Source organism: Homo sapiens, chromosome 2, assembly GCF_000001405.40.
Source record: "Homo sapiens chromosome 2, GRCh38.p14 Primary Assembly".
NCBI lineage: Eukaryota > Metazoa > Chordata > Mammalia > Primates > Hominidae > Homo > Homo sapiens.
Window position 1 is genome coordinate 144,495,986 of NC_000002.12, and position 22,122 is coordinate 144,518,107.

The following is a 22,122-nucleotide window of genomic DNA, read 5'->3' on the forward strand; positions in this document are numbered from 1 at the left end:
TGGTCCCATGACACAGCCAAACAGAAAACACAACAAGCAAGCCTGGCAAAGATGTCCGACCTGAATAAAAGCACAACAATTTGTCACATAGTTGTTACAAAATGTTAGCAGCTTTAGGACTTGCCATGGGATGGCAGAGATAAGGCAGTGTGGAGAATTTAGAAGTTTGAGAATTGGTGAGTCTTAGGCAATGGAAGAGTTAAATCAGAAAAGGGGGAAAATAGTCATCGCAAAAGGATTATTTTCATCTGCTTCCTCATAAGGCCGAGGAAGGCCTTAATGTCATGAATTAGATCAGCAAGAACAGTGTTCCAGGGTTTACCAAATTCCACTGTTTTGAAGGGTTGTATGTTAACTGTCTCTTTCCAAACTCTCAAAGATGTAGCACATTCTAGGATTAGTTTCTTCAGGATCAACAACCATTTTTTATTTTCTTTTTCAAACTGACATAGTAATGAAAGAAAAAATAAATTTTGAGGATGAAACATCCTTACACCCCACTTAGTCTCACTATTCACTCAGAGAAACAGAATCAAACTGCCTCACTCTTTTTCAAACGCTGGGTTTTCTTTTCCAAATGTCCTTCTAGTCAATGATCATTATTGCCTGTGTTGCTTGTAATTCTAGAAATTCCATGATTACAGTAACATGTAACCGTAGACTTTCTTCCTGACTCCAGGCTCATGCCCTTTCTAAACCTTAATTTCCTCATCAGTAAAAATAGTATGAAAATAATAGTACCCATTTCACAGCATTATTGTTGGGGCGAGATCAGATGACATAGGCAAAATTCTTAGCACGGGTCCCAGCACATTGTTAAGTACTCAACAAATGTTAGATGATAATATCTTTCGTACAGTTGCCAGAGACGTGTCACTGAAACGCAAATATAATTATGTCACTCTTCTATAAAACATGGTTCGCAAGCTCACCATCACCTATTTACTGGATACAAGCCAAAAATATGGGATAGGACATTCTTCTGCTCCCTGACCACCTTTGCAGACTCAAATCAAGCCCATCCTCTTTGCTCATGCCCTGTGTTTCAGACATCTCAGTTGGCTGACAATGCCTGCGCTGTTCACCCTTTCTCCTGGCTTGTACATGCCATCCTCTCAGCCCAGCGTGCTGTGCCCTCACTTGCTGGTGAAATCCATGTTATATGACAACAGTCTCCTCAAAAGTCACCTCTGCCATGAAGTGACCCCTCACCACCTTCTCCCAGATCTAGTTGTGCCATCCTCTGTACTCTCTCTGTATTGGGTAGAAAGTTCTTTGTGGCACTTGCCACATTTTCATCATATCTTAAATGCACCCCCATTTCCCACTAGACAGCAAGCTCCTCAGGGGCCCAGGCTCTAGCATCCATTTTTTGATCCACAGACCTCAGCCAGAGCCTGCACATAGTAGGTGTGTAATTAATGCAAAATGAACAAACACTGTAGTTTTCTGCTGACATACCACAGGAAGACCTAGAAAGGACCTGATGACATACTTTTCAATTATTGTACAATGAGAAAATTTTTCTTTTTTTACAATTCAAAGCTCTGATCACTCTCAGGAATAAAGGTGAAAGAAGCCCTCAGTAGAAAAAGAAAATGCGCATTTTTCTTTCATGAATCTGATAACAGCTTCAAAGAGGTGATGCTTGTAATAATAGCAGAATGAACTGAGTTAAGCTCACATGGCAAACTTTGAAACAAAAAAGGACTTAAAAAATACCAATCTAGTGCTGGGACAGGCATGTAGTCCAGGCCTTTTCTGACAATCTTGATGACCCTGTAAGAGTACAGAGATGATACTTGGTGGAGGGAGCTTGTATAAAAAGACACTGTCATTCTCAACATATATATATATATGTCATTCTCAACATATATATATATATGTCATTCTCAACATATATATATATGTCATTCTCAACATATATATTATATATTATATAATATATATTAATATTATATATTATATAATATATATTAATATTATATATTATATAATATATTAATATTATATATTATATAATATATTAATATTATATATTATATAATATATATTAATATTATATATTATATAATATATATTAATATTATATATTATATAATATATATTAATATTATATATTATATAATATATATTAATATTATATATTATATAATATACTATATATATATATGAAACATTGGTGGCATCTCACAAGTAACTCCACATTGCCCTGCTAAGCTCATAGGGCACTACGAACCAAACGTAAAGAGGTAAGATTTCTACTGCAAATATTTCAAGGGGTAGGAAGGTCCTCGCGCTCTATTGACATCTGTGATTCTCTAACCCTTGTGACCCCTTGTAAACTCAGAACCAGTGCAGCCTGGAGCACGTCATAATACCTCCTCCATCCCACCACTCTGCTGAAATTTGAGCCAAGCCCCATGTGGTTGCGGATCTTATGTTCACAGGTCCTGAAGGAAATCCAGGAAGCCATTCTTTGATGAAGTCTGCACCCACCCTCGCTGAAAGTGAACTGACTGCTGGAATATGAAATCGTCATCATCACAGTTAGTGGGAGGCAAGAGCTGGTGAAAGGAGAGGGATCATGGAGTTAACTGGTGACCTTTCAGTTTCCTCCATTTAGAGGTCTCATTTTATTTCTACTTGTAATATTAAATGGGAAACAGATTTAAATATGAGAGAAACGATGGCATGCCACTTGGAACAACCAGCTGAGCTGTCACCTCTAAATTGCACTTTTCATTTGTGTCCTAAAAATGATCAGGAAGGGTCATGAGGGAAGGCCCGAAACTAGGCCTGAAATCAGAGGATAGAAAGATACTCCCAGAGATCCCTTGAGCCCAGGAATCTCAGCTGCTGTGAGCTAGGATGGTGCCACTGCACTCTAGTCTGAACCACAGAGTGAGACCCTGTCTCTAAAAATGAATGAATGAATGAATAAAGATGACACTCCCAGAGATACAGTATTTCTTATTTTTCACCTTTCTCCCGAAAATGTCCGTATTACCACAAAACATAACTTCAGAGTGAAGTGAAATTATTGATTTCTGCCTGAAACAGCAAAAAACACGTAGAATATTTTACATGAGAGAATTTGATCATCAGATTGATCTGCCACAATTAAATAAGCATATTCTTAGGATGAGCTTTATATGGAGAGATCATTTTGCAGAATGCCAAACACAGAAGAGGATGCTTAAAAAGCCCCACAAAGTCTCTTAACTCCAGTGGTATCAAGCCAGATACTCAAACCCCATATTCTCAATTCATTATTAAAATATTTTAAATTCATATTGTTCAGAGGGTCAGAATAAGCACATGAAAGTTAAATTTCTTCCATTAAAAGATTTTAAAAGTCTAGCGGTTTAATAGTAAAAATACAGCGTAAATAGAAATAATTTTTAACCAGTATCTAATCTATAGAATCCACTCATTTGCCAATAGAACGCTTGAAATATAGTAAGTTGATAGCATAATGTTTTGTAGAAAGTTGCATCTTTGTTGAAAGGAAAGATGACATTGAAAAACAGTTAATTTCTGTAAACGCTTTTTCTAGTGATAACTTTATTAACTGGTTTTAGATGTTTCTAGATGGAATAACAAAGTTACGGTTCAAGATTCTAAGAAAAATATCAGCCTTATTATAAATTTTCTGTTTCTTTCTTAAACTTTAAAAATTTAATCTCAAGTATTTATTGGATTGGTTAATAGTCATTCTGTTTGTACCACCTACACCATGGACAGATTTCCCCCCATGTCTCTATTTTATTGATGGGAGCATTTCACAGCCAACCAAATCTCCATTAGTCAGAAGTTCAGGTGTACAATTTTGACCCGTGTAACAATTTTAGGCTTGCAATTTGTGTTGTTATATTTCTTAATCTAGGTCTAAAATATGTGCAGCATTACTTTTAGAAAGTAAAAAACTGATGGATTGTGCCATCTATGGCAGCATTTGTTCAGCATTTGGTACAAATGGGAGAAAAAAGATACAGAATGCATGGATTGATTTTCAAATTACCTCAATATTTTGAAAACATTTTCACCTGCATGCTGAGAATGCTAAGAATGGCAAGGAAGGCAATTGTGCATTTGCACAGCCTCCACTGCATTCATTTATAAATTACCTCATCACTGACTGAAATTAACACTGATTCTTACAGGCAATTTCTCAATTTCCAATGCTAATTACATTTTTTTTACTTTTAAATTCTGTACCACCTGTTTTGGGCAAGACATCTTAGGCAGCGCGACCGCATTTAATCACAATTTTAATTAACCGCCCTGTAGATGTGAAAAAGAAGCAATTATAATGTAGATGAATGATGATTTTTCTGCATTAAATTGTTTTGTTTCCCTGGTATGTTGATTGTAACACAGCACACAAATACAGTAACTGTACAATTTTTTTCTATTGTAATTTAGTAATTGTTTTTGGAAAACCAGTTTGGGAATGAGTGACTTCATCTGTTTACAAATTGATTGATACTGTTCACTCACTGATTGCTGCGGCGTATATTTTGGTATTGCACAGCCTAGCATAAAATATAATTAGAGATGCACAGGCTTTGCAGCACCATTTTGGAATCTGAAAATCAACTGTAACTGAAGTATGTTTTCCTTGAGCATACTAGTATCAGTTGGGGCTGATGAAATGATAATCAAAACAATGGGCTTTCCAATTCCACCACAGTAGAAACCCTTGGTTTCAATCTGATAGTCTAATATGGTAAGTTTATGAATTACTCTGTACTAGGCCTGGGAGCTGGGGGCTGGCAAGTCTGAAGCTTGCACAACTCACTCAGATCTGTATCACAAGGAGCATACAAGTGAGGTAAAGAAACAATGATGAAAAATAAAGAGTTGCTGCTTTGGAAATGGAAGGATTGCTCCCGACACCCAGGCACAATGCACTGGTGTGCTGTAGCGCTAGCCTATCTCATCTCTACACTATGATACAATAAGATCACATTCATGCTCCTGGCTTGCAGATACAGATCATTAAAGCTGTACCTCATTGCAGATAAATTCAAAGATCGTATTTATATGAAGCAGAGCCTGTTCCTCACTCAGCTAGAAATTGGATGGGGGGGTAGCGGGGGGAAAGAGCCATCATTACCTGTTTATGAAACCTTACGCTAACTGATAGCTAGAAGATCTACACTTAATATTCTCACATGAATTAGAGCCCTTCAGGAATACCCTAGCCTAATGTCACACCCACTCCCAATCTCAGGAACTTTCTCCATTAATACACTGCATTGGTATCGTAGGGCTTGTGTCTCCCTCCAATCATCCAATGAGTCATTCTGAAATGTGCTCACTTGAATGAGTCCTGGGCTAGGCCATTTCTGCCAGCCTGGAAAAAAGGGGAAAAGGCCATGTAAGCAATTGTGGATGTTCAAAGGAAACTATTTACGAGACCTCTTCATCTCCTGCTTTGCTTCTTTTTACACTCTATTCCTTAGAAGATCCTAAAGTAGAACAGTTCATTAAAAGGTGAGAAGTCATGTTGGTCCTAGCCATGGACTTGTTACAAAACATAACTAGAATTATGACTTCATTTAGAGTAATTTAAAGATAGAATGTTATAAGCTGACAGGACAAAGCAGTTAATACCAAGATAGGGGTTGGGGGTTGGGGAAGGAGGACTATTTGGATGAACTGCTGTTTGTCTCTTCCATAAACAGTTGCTAACAAAGTATTAATAGGAAACCCCAAACTGATGCCAAAATTCACTTTATATATTAAGTAAGAATCTGCCCTATTAATATATTAAAAGCTCTCTTCTTTTCCAGGTTGGAGATTACATGTCTAAATCTTGTTCACACCTATGGGATTGGACAAAATTTTCTCATGAAACTAAGAGAACAGGCCACAGAGTGTCTTGCAATCTATGCTGTTAGCAAGTGTCTTTCTCATGCCTGATGTTATACAAAAACTAGCAATAAAGGCTTATTCTTTCCTAGCCACCCCGACCTGTATCACTCTTTCTGGCTGTGGGAATTATTTGGCATAAGTGAACATGGAGAAAAACTACCACTGAAAAGAAATGGACAATTCATCTCAGTCACTGCTAAGAAAGCACGCTTAGGGCAGGTAGAAATGTGGATGTGTTTTACCCCGGAGATTCCATTTCAGATTCTTAGTGCAGTCTCACCGGTTATTAGCAGCAGCAATACTTTTAGGCTGCTGAGTATTTTTCTCTCCTTTGCCACCTTCCTCACCTAACTCGTAACAGCTCTCAAGAAAGATGCTGTTTTATGAATGGAGGTAAAAATAACCTTGAATATCTCAAATTATAGCCTCTTTACATAATGAAAAAGGAGTATTCTGGCAGCAGATTTTTTTTTTCATAAAGTTATTCCAGCAATAATGCTTGTTTGGAAGTTTCTAAAAGTGGTAACATCTGTGCTCCTGCTGGCAGATGCCATCCCACCAACCTTTCTATGGGCGGTTTGTCTTTGAGAGAAAATAAAGTACCTGATCCCAGGCCTTAGTCAGTCTTAGCTCCCTGTATCTTCTCACTCTGACCCACTGCGCGTTCCTTCAAGCAGAGAGCTGCCTCCCATGGCTACCTCCTCAATATAAACTTGCTAACTAATCTCTTAGCAAACACTTGAAGAAAACCTGAAGAGTGGAAAGAGAGGCAGAGGGGGAACAAAAACCCAGCGTAGATAAAGCTCAAGACACATTCAACGGGACGCTGGAATCTAAATTTAGTACCAAACTTAAGATTTCTTTAGATAGGCGAGCTGTTGCCTCTGGAACAGGGATTTTCATAACAATTATTTTGTTTTTAAGTCTCAATCTTAATTCTTCTGCTATCTCTTAAATAGGGCTCACTTTAACATAAACTCCCTTGATTTTTTTTTTTCTCTCAGTGGTGATGTGCCTACCCTTATAGGTATTCTTATAGGCTTTCTTTTATTACTGAATATCTCTTTAATAATTTGTCATTTTAAAAAGTCTACTCTGACTGCACTGAGTACACACAAGGTAACTCTTCCTTAGGAATTTATGTGACAATCCAGTGTTGGAAATAAATAATGACTTTCAACCAATGATCAAAGAAAAATAAATCTTTTATCCTAATAAGACTTTTAAAGACTGGAATCCCATTTTTAAATGGATAACAGCTAAGAGGCTACTGGCAATCTATTTATTTCCAAAGCTGTGTTTTAATGTTGGCTACACAGAAACTGGATGAGCAAATGGACCCTAGGGTCCTCAAAGTTAAAGCTTTTAAAATAAAGTTGGTATGTAGTATTTGAAAACATATTGTTCAGAATTTAAGTTTTAATATCTAGGAATAAACAGAGCATTAAATCAAGCAAAACTGTGACAAGGCCAATATGCACATGGATGATGCCAGCAAGGCATCTTCAGCCCTTTGTTCACAGCTTAACAAAACTGTGCCGTCACACCACTTTAGTTCAACAGTGCCTGTCGAATGGGCATCAGCAGATCAGCCAATGCCTGTCATACACAGAGCTAGAAAACGGTTTGAAAGCAAGGGCTTATTCGACCCCCAAGTCTAGTTGGAAAGTAAGGAGGATTTTAAATCATCTAGTAAAAACACCAGCCCCCTCCCACTCCAAAGTTAGAAGAGACGGGGAAGGATGACAATTTTTTTTTTTAAGACATCAAGGAGAAAAAATGTTCTCAGGCAAAGGAAACACTTTTCATATTTGTTTTCTTTGTAAAAGCAATTATACAAGTTTTGCAATCATAGAATTTTTCTTAAAGTGACCTTGTTGAGAGTAAAAGTTGAGTATCTTAGACATCTTAAGGTTTTGCCATGTTTTTTGACCTTTTAAACAACTTAATACGTGTTCTCATATTACCAGGATAGTAGGGCATTATTTGACAGAGAACTTGCAAACCCATGTCATTCAAAGGAGTATCTCTTCAAATATAATTTTTGCTACTTGTACTGGCTTTTTGTTAGCCAAAATGCATTAGCTTTTGAATGGACAGTCCCCTGAGCTCTAGTCTCTGTGAACATTTAATCTACTCAGAAGAGAACCCCCAAGAAAACAAACCTGGTAAAGAGAGGGATTGTTCACTTTCCTACAAGTTAACAATTAGAAAAAAAAAAAAAAACAACAAAAAAAACAAACCACCTTAATTTCCTCCTATAACACTGATCATGAGATTTGGCTTTCAAGCTTTAATAAGTGCTGGGGAGGTGCCTCAGAACTTTCCTTCCGTTTAATTAAGTGTGCCCACTCCTCTTTAGGCATCCAATCAGATTAAGTGAGAGCAAACCCCCGGAGCAAGGCTGGTGAGCCCTAGTGGTAAGAATTAGCTGAAGGTGTTCTGAATCTCAACCTTTCAAGCTCCTTCAGGATATGGTGCTGCTGAGATCAGTACAGGAGGAGCTGAGATTTCCCGCACACTAAAGTTGAAAAGCTCTCGCTCTCAACCTCCCCCCACCCCTCTGTCTTTCACTCTGCTGCTGTCAGTTTGCTGCCTGTACTTTGGCTGTCTCTTTTCCAGTCTCTACCCTGTGAGTTTCTGGCCTGCCAATTTCAACTTGAAGCTTGACTGGGCTGATTTGATGCAAATACCTCCAGGGAAAACCCTGAAACTGATGAACAGTTATGTCAAGTCGATTTTGCACCATCGGGAAAAGGTAACCTCTGCGAGAAAAAAAACAACAAGGTTAAAGAGACAAGGGCTTTTCACGTGTAATACCTCTGCTGCACATCTCGTTCACTGTTTACCATCCCTCAGAAATTGTAACTGTCAGAATTAGTCCTAATTGCAGATGCGAAAGCTGCCATTATAATAAAAACAGAGGCAGTGCAGGCATTAAATGTAGCAGCCTAATTTGTGAGACTACAGAAAAGGTAGAGTAAATGAATATTTCATTACTTTAATTACCAGGGACTACTCTTTTCTTGCTGTCTTATGATAAGTGTTGCTGTAACTAGCAACAGCAAACATCCACTAAAACATAAAGTGCAATAATCGTCCTGCTGTCAGGATCACCACTTTAAAATACGAGCAGGGAAAAAATATAATGGTTTATCTATTTCTTAGAGATTGCAGAAGTAGAAGATGGAAATTCATTTAATGTCAGGGGGAAAAAACGCACACACAAAGGCACCAGTAAACAGGTTTTAGTCAGAGAATAATGGCTCCAAGAGAGAGAAGAAAAAAAAAAAAAGACCAGTTGACTATACATTTGAAATGTTAGCCCTAAAAGAATGCTAGAAAGTGAAAAGTAAGAGGTAATAGTGTTTGGATTTTTTAAGGCAAAATTTTGTCTGTGTTGCACAATGTAATAGCTTGAACATTAGAAAATAAAAAGCGACTGGGGGAAAGACAAGGAAAGCAAGTGGTTTTCAAGTGATTAAGCAAAGGTGGAAAAAGTTCAAGTTGGCAAAAGTTTAGAAGCTCAGTCCAGTTCCATTTAAAAAGACTAGATAAAGCCTGCCAGAAAAAGGACTTTGCCTGCAGTTTCAGAGTACTGATTCATAAGATTTGGGGAGTATCAACAATTACTCACCACTGACACCTTAAAAAATCCTGGGCACCTCTATATAAATGTCAATTTCAGGTAAAGGGGCAAAGTGGAGTGGGAGGTGGCTGGATTGTAGGAGGTAGGAGGTGGGCTGGGAGTGGGGGGTGTGGTTGAGGAGGTTGCTGAGACTGGTTGAAGCCAGCCTGTCTCTGCATTTATCACTCTGTCCCAGAGGAGGTGTTTGTTCAACATAGCAGTTTGACAGCACAAAAACACTGTGGCCAGAAGCCCTATCAAAGAACCTACTGACACGTATCATTTGTGGTCTTGGTTTCACAGGGCAAGGCTACCTCACACTTATCTGCACAAGTATAAAACTCCACACATTTCTAAGTGTTCGGTATGGTTTTAAATCTCCCCCACCCTTTTTTATTCTGTATATTGTAAACACTAGTTTAAAATACCATCTTTATTCAGGACTCCAGAATGCTGTTTTAAAAACCATAATAATTTGCAATCAGTTTAGGATAATCTGTGTTAAGATTGGTAATACTGAAGGAAAATGGGAGAAAACAGTACAAAAGCAGAAAGCTAGTAATTTATCCTAAATAATACACTTAAAGCTTAGATTAATAGGTGTAAGTTTCGTAAGAATCATGTGGCATAGGGAACACATTTCCCCCCTACAATAAATCCTACTAAACAAGAATCTACATTAATTCTTCGCCTCTACTATTTTTGTTTAAGTGTATTTCATTCACAAGCTAGATGACTGTAGTGAAAGTTAAAGAGGAAAATTCTCAGAGTTTGGATCCTAGGGTGCATTTGTGTTTGTGTGCATGTGGGAATGTGTGCACATGGGCTGTATTTAGTTTTCAAATTCCCATCAGCAGAGCAAAGGTGATGGGAAATCTTTAGAGGACAACCATTTTGCTCAGAGATATTTCCCTCTTAATGGGTCTATTTATTATGAAAACACAGCTTACTGAGTTCCTTATATATAAACCTCACCTCTTAAAACTGAGAATTCTCATGATGTGAAACACTTCCATTGATGTGCATGGTGTCTAAAATAGAAACTTAGGTACTTCCAAGAATAGGCAATTGCAATTTCCTTGATTACAGTTACTTGGATATACAAGACAATAAATACTTTCTTAAACTAAGAAACATTGAAAGCAATATATTACATTTATAGATCACTTGGGCACTGAATTCCTTGAAATTTACTCATCCATTTGAGAGAAAGAAAAAAACCTCAGATTTTATATAGCACAATATTTTAATCTGTTCATCTATTACTGATTATTTCATATTTGGGAGGAGGGGGTGGCTATCATCTTGTCAGGAGTACCTTTCCTTGAGTTATTATAAAAAAATAAGAAACAGTATATAAAGAACAAAAATCACTATGTTGTCTATGGGCAACGTAACTATTAAAGAGAAATCCATTACAGTTTTTTTAATGTAGAATACATTTTAGGAAATCATTAATGACAGTTACCTATTCCCAGGAATGTGGTCATCTACCTCTCTCACCTGAGATTATTTTTAAATGTTCCCACCTTAGTTTATCCTGAAGATTTAAAAGTATACCTTCATATATTTGTGATATATAAAGGTGGCCAACTGACCAGTTCTGTGTTTACTGTTTGATTAAAAGAACATCTTCTTTTACACAGGATTTAAAATTTTAACTTCAAAAGATTCAACTGTAGAATTAGACCTCTTCTAGTTTATAGTAAAGTGTTGTGTGGGTTTAAGATGAAATCATACACAGCAAACAAGAAAAATTTACAACTTAAAAATGGATTAGATACAATAGAGTATGACATTTAATCCCACAGATTATAGGAAAAGTTATTTGGAGTCTTAATTTTATAGCAGCGTTAAAAAGAAAGAAAGAATGAAAGGTAACCTGAATATGCACACTAACAGCTCCGTATCGTCTTCTAGTTCTAACCACTACTTCAAATCTCAATCCCTGGACCCAGCTCAGTGATAGAACTAAATTTGTAAATAATCATGAATCATTATGATGATTACATTCCTCAATTGAAAAAATGAAAGCAAAGTACAATCAGACCCTTCTTGAAACGTTTGCTCCCCTTACACTCTTAATGTGTCTGTGCTGCCTGCTCTTCCAAAGTCTGGTTTTTAGAAACCCATATTAATTTCTAACCAAGGCTGCAGCAGCCACTGTAAACGTACATGGCTTTATCAGCTCTCATAGTTTCTTGGGTCACAAATGTACCATATCTGATGACACAGTGATCATCTTCCTTCTCCTTTCTCTTTTCAGATCCTCTAACTTTCCTGTCAGAAGCCTGAAAAAATATGCGCAGTTACTGTTGCTGAGGGGAGACAAAGTTTAACTTCTGGGTTGGCAATCGGAGAATAATTCATGAGCAGATTTCTAGCAAATGATATGATTTGCTAAATTTTGGTCTTTGATTTATATTTATGTACTCCTGCTACTGCTAAGGTTTTGCCAACCTCAATTAGATCATGAATGAGATCATTTTAATTCAGCCCCCAAACTGTGACCTGACCATGGTCTGAAAGTGTTCAAAAAGTAATTTTAAGCCTCCCTTTGATTTGAAAAGGAATACTGCATGCTTGGTCGTTCATACAAATAACATAAAACTTAATTATTGGATGATTTGGCAGAGGACCTTCTTGCCAAACAACAGTCAATGCCAGCTACTGTGATGCTGGCGCTGCCCGGGCCCCCGAGCCCACAGCCTCCTTGTATACGGGCGTTTGTTCATTGTGTCTCAGGGCAAGATGCTTTCAAATAGGATTCACGGATCTGGGAGGCAGGGTGCAACTCGAAGGGTGTACCATATTTATAACTCAAGTTTAAAAATGCTGTCTCACCTAGAAGGGAAGTAGATCTGCGCTGTCAAATCACCAGGAGGCTGTGACAAAGGGAGCTTGCAGCCTGACACACGGTGTAACAACATAGCAAACACCTTTAATTCCGTCATGTCTCATACCCTTTACTTTCTCACACATTTGTGGCTGCTCGAATGTTGACACCTACACTCTTTTTCGAAACTAAATAAGGCAATCTTATTTAAGCCCAAATGCAACACCTGTAAAGTTATTCTTGTGCCCAGCAAAAAATAACCATTAACTCCTTCCTCATAAATGCCTCTCTGCTTGCTTTGGAAAGTCTCAAGTTGGTAACGGCCAGCCTGAGGCCCTGACTCTGAGGTTCACATGACCTCCCAGGTTTGGACAGATAGGCAGTACTTCCCCCTTGAAAAGATGCGAAGGCTGAGATCATATCACTGTCCGAACTGGCCTCTCATAGCTTTTCAAGTTGAAGCCCCTTTCTTCATCACAAACTTCTGGTGTCTTTTATAGGAAGGAGAGAGGCCCCAGCTGCTTCATTCCCTCTAGCTACCGTAGTCTAATATTTTAAAAGCTAGAAATGAAAATAGCTTTTCTAAAGATATTTCCTGGAATTTTTAATGTGCTGCCTTGATTCCTTTTTTCTATCTTTTTTTTTTCCCTTGCCAATTATAAACCACCATTTGGAGGGCTTATGAGCAATGTAAGTCCACCTCATCTAATTAAACCACATTGTTTTAAAAGCTTGAACAGTTTTCATGCCTATAAGACTTGTCTGAATAATAAACTGCTAGAGCCAGAATTCTGAGTGTCTTTGGAGAGCCAGGATTTTATCTGCTGAGCGCAAGGGGCCAGGCACTCAAAGAGTTAAAGAGTGTTCCCGCATTGCTGGGTAGGTTAATATCACAGCTGCCTGGTAAAGCATTATCCCCGTACCTCACTTAACAAAAGCCTCCTTTTGCAAACAGACTCCCACTTTCCCCGCAAGTGTCCAAAGGTGTTTACTGAAGTAAATCTGCCTAAATCCTTCATTGCTTGGGTCATGGGGGTGGATAGGAGGGGTGGAAGGTGTAGGGATAATCTCTTTTTGTAAATTCTGTAAATCTTCTGGGAAAAAGAAAAAAAAATCAGGAATCTGTGTCACATGTTCGCACAACTTCTAATATATCCGTTAGTTTTGCTCTTATAAGTGAAATCTTCCACAAGGGTTATTGGAAAAGCCCCCGTTTCAAATCATTCACTCTGCTGTTGGAAGAGATTGCACTTCCAAAGTTTGTGTGTGTGTTTGTGTGTGTGAATGTGTGTGTGTGTGGTGCATGTGTGTGAGCGCATTGTATCCTTAATCTAATTGTTGGGAGAAAATTATTGGTATCTCAAAAGTGGTTTCAGAAAGGGGAAGAAAAAGACAAGACAGTCTAGGAGCAAGATAATGTCGCTGAAAAGTTGTCACGAGAGGTTTCTGCTCTTGCTGTGGTCTCATTCCAATACCATTAACTGCATGTTACTTTTGCATGTTGAAAATGGTGGCAAATAACACAGTAAAACCTGACAGGTCTGCCTGCGAGGGTTTAAACAGTTCCCAGGAAGGAGGCCTTTAGGCACAAACTTTCTCTCACAAGAGAACGTGAATACCACCAACCCCTCCCCTACAAATCCTGAAGCATCCAGTTTGAGATACAAAAAGGCTGTCATCTCACAAATGTTAAACATACTAAAAAAATCTGAAAAAAAAGTATGGAGAAGGTGTGAAAAACGTGGCACTTTACAGCCCTCAAAGCTTTTTAAAATAGCACAACTTTTCCCCCTAAAATTCTTTTCAGAGAATTTTTTTTTTCCTTTTTGGCTCATTTGAGAGTTTCTTCTTGGCTTTTTTCCCCTTTCATTTGAAAATATGAATTATCATAAAAAGTCAGGGGGAAAAATGGGAAAGTCTTTTCCAGTTTTCCTGAGGATTTATCAGTGTGTTCAGGCTGGGTGTGAGGACCCGTCACTGAAACCAGACCAGGGGCCCAGTCTCCAGCTCGCCCGTCCCTCCCACCCCCAGGGCCCTCACCTCTCTGGTCCGCTGGTAAACAATCAGACTTATTAAAGCCAAATCGTAGGCAGCACTTAAGGGCGGGAAGTCCACACACCTGACCCCAAATCTAACAGGCTTCTGGGGGAGAATTCGATCCCCTCCTGACACTTTTTACCTCAAGTGTTGAGCGGGTGGCCATGAATAGTACAGACATGCCATCTTGTAACACTATATGCCTGTCAGGAGGGACAGGGCCTGGTGGAGCATCAGCTATATAAGGCTGGTAACTAGGGGAAGCCCAACAAACAGCCACAAACACCTAAGTTATTTTACTCAGCTACTACCCTGTGCCTCTCTCTCTCTCTCTCTCTCTCTCTCTCTTTCTCTCTCTCTTTCTTTTCATCTTGGCTTTCTGTGGCAGAATGCAAATGGAGCCTGCCGGCGGTGAAAGGGCTGAATTGTGATTAAGAAGAAGAAGAGCTCCTTTCTTTGTTCTCCCCTCAGGGGATGTTTACTGGGAGAGACACAGCGGATCAGATATGAAAGGCATTCAGGTCAGCATTGATGTGAGCGAAAGTGAAATCATACCTAAGGCATTCAAAAGACCGCCGTGTCAGGGGTTCAGCTAACGGTGCAGCTACTGGGTGTGTGTGTGTCTTCCCGGAGAGGCAAAAATCTTTTCACAGACTGGCAGTTTTTTTCCCCTCTCTAATTTACTACAAAATTATAAAAGTTTTTCCCCCATTTGCCTCCCACCAGATGACACAAGAGTTGGTATTTTCTGTCTTCATGGACCACACGCGAAATCAGACCAACTTCTAATAACTGTTGTTTCCTAAATGAACCAGCAAGGCACCATCTGAACTGTGATTTTCTTTTAAACAGGTGTATTCATGTGGGCTACATATATGCATAATATGTAGGAGAGAACGGAAAGAAGAGAAAAGCCAAAAGATACACGCATGGATGGCTTTTCTTCTTACCTCCTCAGAGGAAACACAAGACAAAACACACACATGCACATACACAGCATAAAAACACTACAGAACACCTTAAAATGAAATCCTTTATTTACTTTGTAACTACTAGTTACACTTTTCCTGAGAGATTTCACTCTGACATGACTGTCACACAAGATAAAAGTATTTGGCACATAGCTATTAAGGCAAAGGCTTCCATGGAGCCTACTGATTATTATCGTTTTCCTTTTAAAAACTGCTTGATGAAGAAATACTTGGATCTTACTTTTTAAAAGTTTACCCTCCCCACAGCCCAAATAGTCATTCAATAGATTTTCCAAGTGGTAAGCTGATGCTGTTGGCATAAACAGAGCTATGTAAATATATACAAAATTCACAAATCACAGCAAACATACAAATAATGAGGAGGTGCCTGGATGTTTCAAGGCTTAAAAATGAAAAGGAAAATTACATTTCATCTTCTGATTGCTAAAGACAGAAAAGAAGTAAAGAGGGGGAATAGGGCTATATTTATTGGTTTAAATCATCCTTCCCTCTGCTCTGAATTATTTTTTTCAACCTTCACATCTTGGCTAAAAAGCATATTTGGGCTTATGTTAACATCTGCTTTTGTGGTGACATTTAATTCTGTATATTTTCAACTAGTGTTTCTGCATCACAGATTTTCCTCCTTTATCTCTTTGCTCTGAAAAGACAACCAAAGAGCAATCAAAAAGGTGTCTGACTTGGCCATTCAGACAATTGCCCCCTTGTGGGAATGCGGGAATGAATGGTACAGTGGACACCCCAGCACCATTGACGTTATAAACATGTAAATGAAACACATTAGGGCAGACAATCAATTGTCTGTGAGCATTGCAAACCTGCACTCCCTCTCTCTGTGACAGGCACAAAATAGTGTCTACCTTGGGAAGCCACGGTGCTGAGAGGAAAAGGACAAAGAATTTCCTTTCACACAGAAGAAAATGCACCTTAAAAGCCTTGGAAGAATGCAGATGACAAAAACTGTTGCAAGGAAAAGAATCTCCCACATCTTAGAATAAACGCGGCACTGCTAGAGGCTAGCAACGCCCTCCTTTCCTACCTTCAGGGTAGACATACATTTTTCCCAGGAAATATTCTTAATATGGCATCAAGGTCTTTAATAACCTCTTGGAATTTTCTTTAAGCAAATTAAGAAGGAAGGGAAACACTGAAACCTATGACATAGCAGTTGAGCAGGGAACTTTAATCTTGGTTTTACCCTATTTGAAAACAAATGGTGGAAGACGTGAATTTATTTGTATCTGGTAACAGAGAAACAATGTAAAGTTTAAAATCCTCAGCCCACCCTTAGTCCTGGTGGACTGTCACTCTATGGACACCAGCAGCCTACTGGCTCTGCTACGAAGGAAAGCATGTTTCTACCCCAATTGGCTTAGTTTTTCCAGACCAAAATAAAACAAATAGATCAGCCTAGATACATAGCCCCCAGCCTTGTGTGTGTGCAGCGTGACAAAACTTGCAGAAGATCTCCACAGAGAAAAAAGGATGGAGATGGATATCTTTGGAGCGCCCTCAGAACTGGTACCTGCCACACAACCTGCCCCAGTGCTTTGAAAGTCAGCAAAACAGGCTCCCTAGAAGCTCATCAACTTTACGAAGAAAGCTACTTGCCAAAGATTTCCACACTTTGCAAAGATAACCAAGTCTGGACTGACAGTGATCCGAAGGAAACTTCCTTGTCTAAGTGTGTATGACTCTCGTTGCCCCATCCCAACTTCACCTCTCAGGGAGGAGAGCTAGGAGGCACCTCCTGGAGAAGGGGTTGACTGCATTTTCTTTCCTTTTCATTTAAGCATCTCTGAAACGGGAGCAACTTCTCCGTCCCTCATTGCCTCTAACCATCACTACCAGCACCTCCACTCCTTTAAGGAAGTGGTAAAGAGTGAGGGCTTATTTTAAACAGGGATAACCATTTCTGCTCTTCTGATTGTTTCTCCTCTAGGATCCAAAGCCCTGAGAACATTCAACTTGATCCCTGTTCTTTGCCACTGAAGTTCAGAGACCAAAGGCATTTGTAAAAAGCTCCCCTTCTCCTTCACACTGTCCCCAACCCTTTAGTGGAAACTCTGGAGAAAAATCAAATTTAACTTTTCCTTTCTTCTCCTATTTCCCTTTTCTCTCCTCCTAATTCAGTTTTTCTTTAAAAGACAACTTCATTTCTTTCTCTGAAACAAGCAGTTTCCGGATTTGATTTTTGCTACAACGTGCATGTCTCTGTGAGATTTTTCAGAGGCTGATGCTGGAAGGTGGCGGGATGGGGAGGCAGACCCTCTTCCCGGGCTCCGTGGGAGGCAGGAGGGAAGCAGGAGCATCCCAGGACCCGCTGCCCGAATCAGGGGCAAAAGCAACAAACTTTGCAAGTTACAAACGGGCCGCACCGGTGGCAAGCAGCAGCAGGGCATCTCCCGCTCCGAGTGCTCATTTCTGACTCCAAGGCTGTGTGGAGATAGTGGGGTATAATCAGGGGAAAGAAAAAGGGGGGCTGGGTTTTCCCCCTCCTCTCCAGCGTCAGTGAAAGTGTTACAAAGTGAGTCAGGCGACTGAGGATCATCTGACTGAACTTTCTTGAAACCGACACACATTCTTGTCTGCGGGCAACTCGCTTTTTGCCTCCTTCCCCCTCACCCCACTCCCTCTTTCCTCCTGCACATCTTATTTTCTGGGAAGAGATTTCATCCTTTCCATGTGGGGGAAAGGAGACTGACTGCCCGCTATGGGTTAACTTGGCCCTGGCACTGCCTCTGCCAGGCATCTTGCTAGCCTGAGAATCTGGAAGGTTGTATTTCAGATACTTGTTTCTCTCTTTGTACATTTATTTTTCTTCAACTGCCTCCTTCTCCTTTGCTTTTTATTAAATGTACATAGCATTGTCTTCTAACTCACGTTCTTGACCAGCCTTTAAAACACACACACTGCTTTACACGTTTTATCTCCTTGTCGCCTTAGTCTATATATACACTGTTGACTTCATTAAAATTATATAAAGTGCCATTCTAGGTTCCTGGATGACCATCTTTTTTTCCCTTCCAGCTTCTACTTATACGATTATTATTGCCATTATTTCTTTCCAGGAATTTCTATATGATTTTGATAAGCATCATCATATTTAGTGTTATCAGCAAAGACACAAGCTCAAAAGTGACATCTTTTCCATGAATCCAGGAAAGAAGAAAAATCCACTCAGTTCAGATAAATCCTAGCAATTCCCAAAGGGAAAGGCATTGGATATGTGTTTGATGAGAAAGAAAATGAAAAAGGGGTGGGGTGGTAGTACTCTTCTACCTGCTTCTCAAAACCAGAACATTGCTCGGTCAGATTAAACCCAGTGAAAAACACTTACAATAACCAGTATACAGCATGTTTTCCCACAGCTTATTTGGAAAAAAAGACAGGTAACAGTCAAAGTTAGAGAAGCTGTAAGCAATGGACAGGCTTGATATTAAGTGTGCAGGATCTGGGCTAAATGCCTTAAAATGTGCAATTCAACTTTCCACTTCTGAATGTGGAGGCTTCTCCCAAGTTAGTGGCTGGGTGGAGGGGAAATACTTGCAGTGTCCATGACTGCGGACATCTCTGGCACTCCATTCCACCTGCGAAGCGCCCAACGGGCCTCCCTCTCTGCCAGGTCTCCTAGGGGTTCCCAGGAAGCCAGGATCCCTCTATTTCCTTAGACCTGGGCTCTGGCCTGACCTCACTGCTAGGGCCAGGCTGGTCAACGGTGGCAAAATCCCGAAGGAGGTGGAAGGAGGAAGGCAAGAAGAAATGCACACTTTAAATAGTCTTCCCTGCAAAAGAACACTTCTGGGAGCCTTGTTTTAAATCTCATTCTCTTTTTCTCTCAAAAAAAAAAAATGACTGTTTAACAGAAGAGGGAAAAAAGCCTCCTTGACACAAAGCTTTTGTTATCCAGTTGATCAGCAACGTGCTTTAGATACTTGTAAGAGGGGGAAAAAAGCCCCACAACAGACATTGATTTTAGAAAATCAATAACCAACATTTAATAAAAGGAACAGAGGAAACACAAGAGAGGAGAGGGGGACATTAGGTGTAATTTTAGTGTCTACTAAATTACTCAGAGATGGGGAAGGGGAGGTCTCCTGTGTAAGGACCACCTTAAATAATGCCAGACACCAGAGTGAAAAAAAAATTAAATTAAGAGAGAGAGAGAGGGAGAAAGAGAGAGGGAGAGACTTAAAAAGAAGCAGCCTGAACTGAATCTTGGGGAAGCAGCTCGGAATATATTATTGTACTTGTTTTTCTGTAATACTAAGCCAAGCAAATAGATCAAAGACAGCACAAAGGGGAAAGGCAGGATAACGTAACGAACAGTTTCTGACTAAAATTCCTCTATCACTCCCCCATATGGCTCGACACCTCCACCACAACAAGCAAAAGACACACACACGCACACACACGCGTACACACACACAAAACCTAGAGAGAGAGAGAGAGAGAGAGAAAAGCATCATTTGTCTCTAATCAAAATTCTCTCGTCTTTGTGTTTTGCTCCTTCCAGCACCTCACACTGCGCCCCCAGCCGCCCCCTCCCCGCGCCGCGCAGCTCTGGGGCAGGCCGGGGGCGCGCACAATTGTCTTCTCTAGAGGAAAGTTGCTCCAAGTGGGCCCGGGCGGTCCCCGCGAGGCGCGGGCTGGGGCTGCGGAGGCCGGGAGGCCGGGTGGGCGCTGCGTCCCAGCGCCTGCCTCGGGAGCGTCTACGCGGCCCCGCGCCGGGTGATCGGGCTGAGAGCGAGGGGAGCGAGAAGTTTCCTTTCCGAGTCTGGGCTGGCGCTCGTTCGCTTGTTTGTTTTCGGGGGTTGGTTTCTTTCTTTTTAAACTCAGTTATCCTCCGTCAGCTCCCCCACCCCCCCCCGGCACCCTCGCTAGTCCCCAGCCCTCTCCCCTCCCCCAGGCGCCTTCCGCGCTCTTGCCAATCACTTTTCTCTTTTATTCCCACGATTTTGTTTGGGGTAATACCTAGGGGGTCTCTCTCTCACTCTCTTCCTCTCTCTCTGTTTCTCTCTGTCCCCCCGCGTCCCTTCTCTGGCTGTCTCCAAAACGGACCTACCAAACTCTCACCCCCCCCTTTAATATCCCACCTCTGATCTGCGTGTGCCCCTCGAACCCCCATCTCCTTTCTCCTTCCTCCTTCCTGACTCAGCCTGGATAACGGGCTCCTCCAGACCATGTAGAAACTGCCGGGAAAAGTCTCGCTGCGCCCTGCGACTCCTTCAGTCCCCGGCCTGGGGGCAGAGCCTGCTGGAGAGGAGTCATCCGTCCCCGAGCCATCATCGACCCCACCGGACCCCGCGCGGGGCCGGCCGACTCCCTCCCACCCCGGGGTCTGGGCGCGATGGGCCGGGCCCCGCTGCCCGCGGACCGTTACTTGGCGCACCGAGAAGCGGCCGGGCGACTCCGGCAAGAAACTTTAAGCCTCGCTGAGGCGCAGACCCGGTTCCCCTCTCCTGCCTTCGCAGTCTCTCTGCCACCCCCGCCCCCGCCCCGGGATCCTGCGCGATCCAGCGCCTGGGCCCCCGCCCTGCCCCAGGCGGACGCTCCCGAAGCCCGGCCGGAGACCCGGCGGGCCGGGCGCGAGCGGAGCGGGAGGCGGAGGCGGAGGGAGGGCGGAGGCAGGGGCTCGAGGGGGGCAGCGGGGCTGGGGGCGCGGGGCCCCGGCCGGACCCCCGCGCTCGGACCCCCGGGTGCCTGACGCTCACTTTGCCCGGCACTTCCCCAACACCCCCCGGTCCAGCCGCCGCGCGCGCCGGGCTCCGGCGCCGGCCGCGGAGGGAGGCTCGCCCTAGAGCCCTGGGCGCCGCCGCCGCCGCCGCCTCGGTTCCTTTTCCCTTTCCCCCTCCTTCTCCCTGGGTCTCGAGCCGCGTAGTGGCCCGGAAAAGTTTGGTTCGGGCTGCTTCTTACCGTTTTTCCTCCTGGGATTGGCTTGTTTGCGCCTCTTGCACCGGGGGCCATCCGCCATGATCGGCTGCTTCATTGATAAGAGCGGATCAGATGGCAGTTCGCATGGACTCGGCGCCCTGCTTCGGCAGCACGCAGGCTCGATCTAGCAACCAAACACAGCGACAATGTGGGCATCGCCCGCGCCCATTGAAACGCGCGCGGGCCGCCCAGGGGAGCCGGGCCAGGGCCCCGGCGAGCACCCATCCGCGCCCCCCAACGCCAAAGCGAAACTTCGGCGGCCCCCTCCCCGCCCCCCACCCCCAGCCTTGGCCCCGAGGCGCTTTGTGTTTGTTACTGTTTGGTGTGTTGCACCCGCGAGGGGATCAGAGAGACAAGAATTACATCTTCAAAATGAGTCATAACTCCTGACCGTATGAGGGAATGCACACGGCGGTACAGTAAGACCGCTTGACTCAGGGCTAGGCGGACCCTTTCCTTCGAAAAGTCCTCAGCCCCCGGCTCGGGAACTTGGGGTGAGGCGAGGTTTTCTTTTCGTTCTCATCTTTTCTCATCCCCCCACCCCCCAATTCCCAGAGGAAACAAACAAACAAACAACGCGAAACAGCCCCTGGATGAAGCACACTCGGGCAAATTGATAATAGTAATTATAGGAAGCCCACTCGCCCAGCGCCCCCTCCCCTCCCCTTTTGGAGTTTATCGAGGCACTGTCTCTTCCTCCCCCCACCCTCGCCCCCAAATTAAGATTTCCCGTTTTACGCCGCAATGATAAATATAATTATAAGCCTCTTTGGACACTGTCCTTTACCCCACCCCCCCTCGCCACTTTGACA

The 22,122-nt window shown here is 42.1% G+C and overlaps 1 protein-coding gene across 3 annotated transcripts in view, besides 4 other annotated features; it reads right to left on the minus strand.

Annotated features, from left to right (window-relative positions):
• ZEB2 (zinc finger E-box binding homeobox 2) overlaps positions 1 to 22,122 on the minus strand; it is a 136,039-nt gene that overhangs the window by 111,905 nt on the left and 2,012 nt on the right. For 2 of the 3 annotated variants that reach the window (NM_001171653.2, NM_014795.4), the window contains exon 2: positions 21,293 to 21,434. In NM_001171653.2, the coding sequence (NP_001165124.1) occupies positions 21,293 to 21,365 (73 nt within the window). In that variant the 5' untranslated portion in view covers positions 21,366 to 21,434. Of the gene's footprint in view, positions 1 to 15,399; positions 17,813 to 21,292; positions 21,435 to 22,122 lie in introns of those variants that run through there. The other variant, NR_033258.2, reaches the window with a different exon arrangement.
• Positions 14,307 to 15,222: an enhancer, noted in NCBI's record as "OCT4-NANOG-H3K27ac-H3K4me1 hESC enhancer chr2:145267859-145268774 (GRCh37/hg19 assembly coordinates)". NCBI's record gives its function as "activates a minimal SCP1, AML or CMV promoter by ChIP-STARR-seq in naive and primed H9 embryonic stem cells {active_cell/tissue: H9 hESC(naive and primed)}" and the evidence as "EXISTENCE:reporter gene assay evidence [ECO:0000049][PMID:30033119]".
• Positions 14,870 to 14,939: an enhancer, noted in NCBI's record as "active region_16604". NCBI's record gives its function as "activates an Ori minimal core promoter by ATAC-STARR-seq in GM12878 lymphoblastoid cells {active_cell/tissue: GM12878}" and the evidence as "EXISTENCE:reporter gene assay evidence [ECO:0000049][PMID:35858748]".
• Positions 14,970 to 15,019: an enhancer, noted in NCBI's record as "active region_16605". NCBI's record gives its function as "activates an Ori minimal core promoter by ATAC-STARR-seq in GM12878 lymphoblastoid cells {active_cell/tissue: GM12878}" and the evidence as "EXISTENCE:reporter gene assay evidence [ECO:0000049][PMID:35858748]".
• Positions 21,363 to 21,864: an enhancer, noted in NCBI's record as "H3K27ac hESC enhancer chr2:145274915-145275416 (GRCh37/hg19 assembly coordinates)". NCBI's record gives its function as "activates a minimal SCP1, AML or CMV promoter by ChIP-STARR-seq in primed H9 embryonic stem cells {active_cell/tissue: H9 hESC(primed)}" and the evidence as "EXISTENCE:reporter gene assay evidence [ECO:0000049][PMID:30033119]".